General features: G+C 39.2%; 1 long non-coding RNA gene across 2 annotated transcripts in view; it reads left to right on the top strand.

Moving 5' to 3' along the window:
* The first annotated feature begins 7,146 nt into the window (after positions 1-7,146).
* LOC105377524 (uncharacterized) overlaps positions 7,147-8,414 on the top strand; it is a 29,038-nt gene continuing 27,770 nt past the window's right edge. For both annotated transcript variants that reach the window (XR_007058356.1, XR_939424.3), the window contains exon 1: positions 7,147-7,186. This is a non-coding gene — a long non-coding RNA (uncharacterized LOC105377524). The remainder of the gene's footprint in view (positions 7,187-8,414) is intronic.

Genomic DNA, 8,414 nt, shown 5'->3' with positions numbered 1-8,414 from the left:
AAAAAAATTTCAGGCAGAGAAACAGCAGTGCAAAGGCCTGATGGGAGAATAAAGTTGTGTTTAAGATATACCGAGAAGGGCAGTGTGACTGTGTGAAGTAAATAAGGAAAGTGGTAAGAGATTAGAGTGGAATAGAAGAAGGGGGCCTTATAGGCTATAGATTTGAAGAATACAGTGGAACATTTTGGCCAAGACGTGGTCAAGACATGCTATGATTTGCGTTTCCAAATGATGTTCTTTTACCTCATGAGAAACAGACTGGAGGAGGCAAGGAGAGAAGGAGGCTATGACAGTCATCATGACACAAGTGTGTGGCTTGGATTAAATTAGCTACAGTAGAAAGGGAGAGAAGGTGTAAACTCAAGTAGGCTTACATTGTTGATGGATTATATAACGAATATGACATTATGAGAAAAATGAAGGATGATCTAGGTTTTTGCTTATTGATAGCAGGTTATAAATTGGGTTATAAATTGGATTATAAATATTATAGGATCTTGAAAAATCAATCCAACATGGCTGTAGACAGTACACTTGCTGAGGCATAGGAAATGAAAAGTTATTGTACTCACAGGTTCTAGAGGGAGAGGAATGGTCACCATTCAGGTTCAACCAAGTAGGTGGGGAGCAGAGAGAGGGAAAGGACCCCTGGGCAAGTGTCTTTGTTGGGGATCAGGGATGAGGGGATTTCACTGGTGTGTTTGAATGTCAGTAGGTGACAGTGAGTGGAGGAAAAGAAGTGTGCCTGGATGCCTGGGCAGGGTGTTCACAGCCTGTTTGTGGGGATGTTGAAGCATTTGGAAAATATGAAGTTTAAAAAATGTACAATACAGACAAGTATTTTAGCAGACATCTATTAGCACATATTCATGTTCTTTTCTGGTACATGACTCTTATGGACCCCATTATTTTTCCACCTTGGCTTATTCAGTTACTTTGTAGATCCAGCCCTTCCCTTGTCTAGCAAAGAAAGACCCTCCATTAGAGCCTCCAGAAGGGAACACAGCCCTGTCAGCCACTTAATTCTAGCATGTGAGGTCCATTTTAGACATCTGACTTTGAGAACAGTGATATTACCACTAATTTAATAGTAACTCATTAATAGCAGCAATAGGAAATTTACTATAGTCACAAGGCTGACATTGTATTTCCATTCATCTATCACCTGTGTCATTTTCCAATTAAACCATGTAAGAATAAAAAGGGCATTATATATTATTAACTTCCTAAAACACCATCATTACTATATTTATAGTTTGGGGATAAGTTGCAGGGTGAAATACAAAAGTGAGAAAATATCTCGTGATATAAAGGAGTTGTGGTCATCTCACAGCACTAGAAAAGGGGAATCTCAGGGGAGACATTTAGTATACATCTCAATCTGGGCTTCAAGTATTTTCCTTTCCTTATTTACCCATTACTTTATTTTATTCATTGATTTTAAATTTATATTCTATTTTTTGCATATATAACACAATATGTGTGTATTCATCTGTTCTCACACTGCTATAAAGAACTAACAGAGACTGGGTAATTTGTGAAAAAAAGATTTAATTGATTCAAATTTACTCAGGCTGTACAGGAAGTATAGCTGGGGAGGCCTCAGAAAACTTAATATTACAGTGGAAGGGTGAAGGGGAGCAAGCACATCTTCACATGGAGACAGGAGAGAGAGAGGGCAAAGGGGGAGGTGCTACACACATTTAAGCAATCAGATCTTGTGAGAACTCTTTATTATGAGAACAGAACGGGGGAAATCCGCCCCATGATCCAGTCATCTCCCACCAGGTCCCTCTCCTAACATTAAGAATTACAATATGACATGAGATTTAGGTGGGGAAATAGAGCCAAATCATATCTTCTGCCCCGTTCCCTTCCAAATCTCATGTCCTTCTCACATTTCAAAACATAATCATGCCTTCCCAATAGTCCCACAAAGTCTTAACTCATCCCAACATTAACTCAAAAGTTCCAGTCCAAAGTCTCATCTGAGACAAACAAGTCCCTTCCATCTATGAGCCTGTTATCAAAAACAAGTTAGTTACTTTCAAGACACAATGGGGGTACAGGCATTGGATAAATGCTTCCATTCCAAAAGGGAGAAATTGGCCAAAACAATGGGGCTACAGGGCCCATGTAAGTTTGAGACCTAACAAGGCAGTCATTAAATCTTAAAGCTCTAAAATAGTCTCCTTTGACTCCATGTCTCACATTCAGGGCACACTGATGCAAGGGATGGACTTCCAAGTCTTTGCACAGCTCTGCCTCTGTGGCCCTTCAGGGTACAGGTCCCACAGCTGCTTTTACAGCCTGGTGTTGAGTGCCTGCAGCTTTTCCAGGCACACGACACAAGTTGTTGCTGGATCTGTCATTCTGGGATCTGGAAGATGGTAGCCCTTTTTTCACAGCACCATTAGGCGGTGCCCCAGTGAAGACTGTCTGTGGGGCTGCAACCCCTCTGCACTGCTCAAGTAGAGGTTCTCCACGAGGGCTGCATCTCTGCAGCAGACTTCTGCCTAGACATCCGGGCATTTCCATACATCCTCTGAAATATAGGCAAAGGCTCCCAAAGCTCAACTCTTGCTTTTGTGCCCCTGCAGGCACAAGCCTTGGAAGCTTGCCAAGGCTTGGGGCTTTCACCCTCAGAAGCAATGGCTCAAGCTGTACCTTGGCCCCTTTTAGCCACTCCTGGAGCTGGAGTAGCTGGGATGCAGGGTGCCATGTCCCAAGGCTGGACAGAACAGTGGGGCCCTGGGCCTGGCCCATGAACCCATTTTTTCCTCCTAGGCCTTCAGGCCTGTAATGGGAGGGGCTGCCATGAAGGTCTCTGAAATGCCCTGGAGGCATTTTCCCCATTGTCTTGGCTATTAAGATTAGGCTTTTCTTTACTTATGCAAATTTCTGCAGCCTTGAATTCCTCCCTAGAAAATTTTTTTTTCTTTTGTACCACATGGTTGGGCTGCAAGCTTTCCAAACTTTTATGCTGTGCTTCCCTTTTAAATATATGTTCTCTAGTGTCATTTCTTTGTTTATGCAAATTAGCATAGGCTTTTAGAAGCAGCCAGGCCACATCTTGAATGCTTTGCTGCTTAGAAATTTTTTTCTGCCAGATATCCTAAATCATCTCTCTCAAGCTTAAAGTTCCACAAATCCCTAGAGCAAGGGAATAATGCCCCCAGTCTCTATGCTGAAGCATAGTAAGATGACCTTTATTCCAGTTCCCAATAAGTTTCTTATCTCCATCTGAAACCACCTCAGGCTGGACTTCATTGTCTATGTCACTATCAGCATTTTGGTCACAACCATTCAATATATCTCTAGGACATTCCAAACTTTCCCACATCTTCCTGTCTTCATCTGAGTGCTCTAAACTGTTCCCACCTCTGCCCATTACCCAATTCCAAAGTCACTTCCACATTTTCAGGTATCTTTATAGCAATGCCTCACTTCTTTGGTATCAATTTTCTGTATTAGTTCTCACACTGCTATAAAGAAGTACTTGAGACTGGATAATTTATGAATAAAAGAGGTTTAATTGACTTACAGTTCTGCAGGCTGTATGGGAAGCATGACTGGGGAGCCCTCACGAAACTTAAAATCATGACAGAAGGGTGAAGAGGAAGCAAGTATATCTGCTCATGGCAGCAGGAGAGAGAGTGAAGGGGGAAGTGCCACATACTTCTAAACAACCAGATCTTATGAGAACTCACTTACTATCATGAGCACAGCAGGGGGAAATCTGTCCACATGATCCAATCACCTACCACCAGGCCCCTCCCCCAACATTAAGAATTGCAATTCAACATGAGAGTCGGGTGGTAACACAGAGCCAGGCCATATCAATGTGTAAACAAATCTCTTTAGCAACAGGTGTGATATATAGAAAACACACAAATAGAATCAGCTGAAAGTAAACAGGAGTGAAATAAAGGATGTAAAGCCTAGAAAAAAACTAGACATGAGGGAGTATTGCCAGGGACCCAGACGTGAGGGACTATTGCCAGGGGACATTGGAAAGGGTGTATGTGTGTGTGTGTTTGTGTGTGTGTGTGTGTATGCGTGTTGGTGGATTATTAGCTATTTACTGTGTGACAATTCTTTCTTCACTGTAAAATATGAATTCAATAAATAAACTGCCACTAGTATTCCCAGAGAATGGTACTGTTAGGCATGGGCTGTTCCCTTCTTTCTGAGATGCTCATGTATGTTACAAGAGATGAAATAAATAAAAACTTAAGGTAGTCTGCAGAAGTTTTGTTTCTTATTGTCATAATGAATTTGTCATCCTTAAACTAATTTTCTACCTCTGGATGCAATCTGTATCCATGTCTATTGACATACTTTTTACAATGGATCTCCCACTTATTTTCTTTTTTATTTCTACCACTATGCATGTCCAAGCTCATGTTGTTGAACTATTATTATTTTGAAATATAGTCGTGTGCTACATAATGACATTATAGTCAACAATGGACCACACATATGAAGGTGGTCCCATAAGATTATAATGGAACTAAAAGATTCCTATTGCCTAACTTTTAGTATACTATGCTTTTTTATGATTACTTTAGAGTGTACTCCTTCTACTTATCAAAAAAAAAGTTAACTGTAAAACAGCCTCAGGCAGGTTCATCAGGAGCTATTCCAGAAGAAGGCATTGTTATCACAGGAGGTGACAGCTCCATGTGTATTATTGCCCCTGAAAACCTTCCAGTGGGACAAGATGTGAAGGAGAAAGACAGTGATATTGATGATTCTGACCCTGTGCAGGCCTAGGCTGATGTGTGTGTTTGTGTCTTAGTTTTTAATAAAAAAGTTTAAAAATTAAAAAAATAGAAAAAAGGTGATAGAATAATGATATATAGAAAGAAAATATGTACAGGTGTACAACCTGGGTGTGTGTTTTAAGTGTTATTACAAAAGTGTCAGAAATTTTTAAAAATTAAGAGTTTATAAAGTAAAAAAGTTACAGTAAACCAAGGTTAATTTAATAATGAAGGAATAAAAAATTTTTTTATAAATTTAGTGTAGCCCAAATGTACAGTGTTTATAAAGTTTACAGTGATGTACGGTAATGAGCTAGACCTTCATATTCACTCACCACTCACTCATGAACTTACCGAGAACAACATACAGTGCTGCAAGCTCCACTCACGGTAAGTGCCCTATATAGGTGTACCATTAGTATGTTTAGATATGGTTAAATACATAAATAGCATTGTGTTACAATTGCCTACAGTACTGAGTACAGTAACACCCCTGTGTATGTTGGTAGCCTAGGAGGTTAGGCTAGGTATGTAGTAGACTAGGTTTGTGTAAGTACACTCTATGATGTTTACACAAGGATGACACATTTCTTAAATGTATCCTGTTGCTAAGTAAGGCATAGTCATAGTTGTATTTAGTTTTGGCTTTATCAATCGTTTTTCTTTTTTATGTGTCAATAAATTTTTAATCTTAATTATCTCCTTAATTTACTTTCTTAGAAAATAGTCTTCTTTTAACTTTTTTTCTTGGTTCTTTTAATTCCCTTAGCTAAGTTGGATGCTTATCTCACTAATTTTCATTCTAACTTCTTTCCAATAAAAGTATTTAAGATATAAATTTTTCTAATCATAATTTTGGATGCATTCCATACATTTTAATAAATATTTTAAGGTTATTTCAAGTATTTTGACTAATTAACTTTTGCCTCTTTAGTTATTTAGAAGTAGTCTTATTAACTGCCAGACATAAGCCATTTTATTTTGATTTTCTTATTTATCTTTCATTACTGATCATGTCGTCAGAGAACGTAGTTCCTAAGACACTTATTCTTTGAATTTTGTAGTTTTGTGACTTAATACATGGTTAGTTTTCATAAACATTTCTTATATGCATGAGAAGATTGTATATGTATATTCTCAAATTATTACATGTACTAGCAATCAGAGAAAGGTTCCTAATTGCATTATTCAAATTTTCTCTAACCTTATTAATTTTTGATACTTAAGAAGTGAAGAAATATGAAGATGGTCATATCACAATGAAGTACTATTTCTTGCATCTCATTAAAACCTTGAGGGTAATTCATTGTGCTAATTCTCTACATAGCACTGTCCATGCACGGGAGCTCTCCATCATGCTTTTATTTTTTACTGGACATCAGATTCCATTCAGCAGATAGTTTTTTAATACAAAGTGTTGGTTTCTACACTCATCAAGACTTTTGAGCTGATGGAGAATAATTTTTAGTGACTCTCAAGACTAATTAATCACCCCAAGATTTTCTCTACCTTGCTCTGATCTTTATCACATTTAAAAATCAAATTTGAAAAAAAAAAAGGGGAGAATGGATAAAACGGAGAGGAAGAGGAAGAAGGAGAATCAGGAGAAGTGACAAGAGAAAGAAACGTGACTGGGAGTCTAAGGGAGTGGCTGGGCTATGTCCTTGAAGTAGTTAGTAGCTGGGGCACATGCCAGACTGCAGGTGTATGTGCATATACTTTCAACCTTTGCCTTCAGTGTTCCAGACATATATTTTTCTAGGGGCTTTGACTTTAAAAAATGGGATTCTGTGATAAGCTACCTACTCTTCTTTTGTTTTCTAAAGCTGTAACAAAACACAAAGCTCTGTGAGGAAACAAAACCTACAGCAGTGTGACAGCTGGCACAGAGAGGGTGCTGCCATCAATTCAGTTCCAGGAATAAGTGTAGCTCTACCTGCCTCTCTAGAGCTTCTCAGAACACATGTGAGGACTCATTCCACACGTCTTGTGACTACTGCCAGCTGTTGGACTGTGAAAGGGAAAACCACAGGCACAGGATGGTTTGGTGCCTGCATATAGATGAAATAGTGAGAAAAATGAGTATGTCATTTTGATGTCAGGGTGATGCTGGCTTCATAGAGTGATTTAAGGAGTAACCCATGCCCGTGTGGCTTCACAGTTGAATTTGATCAGAAATATAAAGAGCTATAACACTATTACCAATTCTACTAAAATTATTCCAAAAAATAATTTTTTAATTGGTAGGTTTTTTATTACTGATTCAATTTTGGAAATTTATATTGGTCTATTCAGGTTTTTTGTTTCTCCCTGATTCAATCTTGGGAGATTGTGAAGATGGCTGAATAGGAATAGCTTCAGTCTGCAGCTCCCAGCGTGAGTGACACAGAAGACAGTTGATTTCTGCGTTTCCAACTGAGGTACCAGATTCATCTCACTGGGGCTTGTCAGACAGTTGGTGGAGCCCATGGAGCAGGGTGGGGCATCGCCTCAGCCAGGAAGCACAAGGGGTCAGGAAATTCCCTTTCCTAGCAAAGGGAAGCCGTGACAGATGGTACTGGAAAATTGGGACACTCCCACCATAATACTGTGCTTTTCCAATGGCCTTAACAAATGGCACACCGGGAGATTATATCCCATGCCTGGCTCAGAGGGTCCCATGCCCACAGAGGCCTGCTCACTGCTAGCACAGCAGTCTGAGATTGAACTGCAAGGCGGCAGTGAGGCTGGGGAGGGGCGTCCGCCATTGCTGAGACTTGAGTAGGTAAACAAAGCGGCTGGGGAAGCTCGAACTGGGTGGAGCCCACCACAGCTCTGTTATAAATTGTTATAGTGCCTTTCTGTGTCATTTTTTACTGCTCTTTGTTTAAAATCTGTTTTATCTGATAGAAGACTAGCGACCCCTGCTCTTTTTTGCTTTCCTTTTGCATGGAGAATCTTTCTCCAACCCTTTACTTTGAGCTTACTGGTGTCATTACACATGAAATCAGTCTCTTAAAAACAGCAGACAAATGGGTCTTGTTGTTAATCCAGCTTGACAGTGTGTGCCTTTTAAGTGGGACATTTAGACCACTTTCATTCAAAGTTAATATTGACATGTGAGGTTTTGATTCTATTATGAAGTTGTTAATTGGTTGTTTTGTAGTTTCTATTATGTGGTTGCTTTATGTGTTCACTGTGTACTTAAGTGTGTTTTTGGGATAGCATGTATCATTCTTTTGTTTCCATGTTTAGAACTCCTTTAAGGATCTCTTCTAAGGCTGGTCTAGTGATGACACATTCCCTTTGTTCTTACTTGTCTGGAAAATATTTCTTCTTCATGTATGGAGTTTAATTTGGCAGGATATAAAATCTTTGGTTGGAATTTGTTGTTTTTAAGAATGGTGAAAATAGGCCTGTGGTCTTTCCTGGATTGTAAGTTTCTGTTGAGAAATCCACTGTTAGCCTGATGTGGTTCTTTTTGTAAGTGACCTGTCCCTTCTCTGTAGCTGCCTTTAAGATATTTTCTTTACTGTTGACCTTGGATGGTCTGGTGAGTATACCTTGGTGATTTTCATTTTGTATAGGTATTTTTGTACAGGTGTTCTTTCTATTTCTTGTATCTGGATGTTTACCTATCTAGCAAGATTAGGGAAATTATTTTTGTTT

This window comes from Homo sapiens, chromosome 4 (assembly GCF_000001405.40).
Source record: "Homo sapiens chromosome 4, GRCh38.p14 Primary Assembly".
In the NCBI taxonomy this organism is placed as follows: Eukaryota; Metazoa; Chordata; class Mammalia; order Primates; family Hominidae; genus Homo; species Homo sapiens.
Note: the sequence above shows the minus strand (reverse complement) of the source record. Positions and strands in the feature narration are given on the sequence as shown.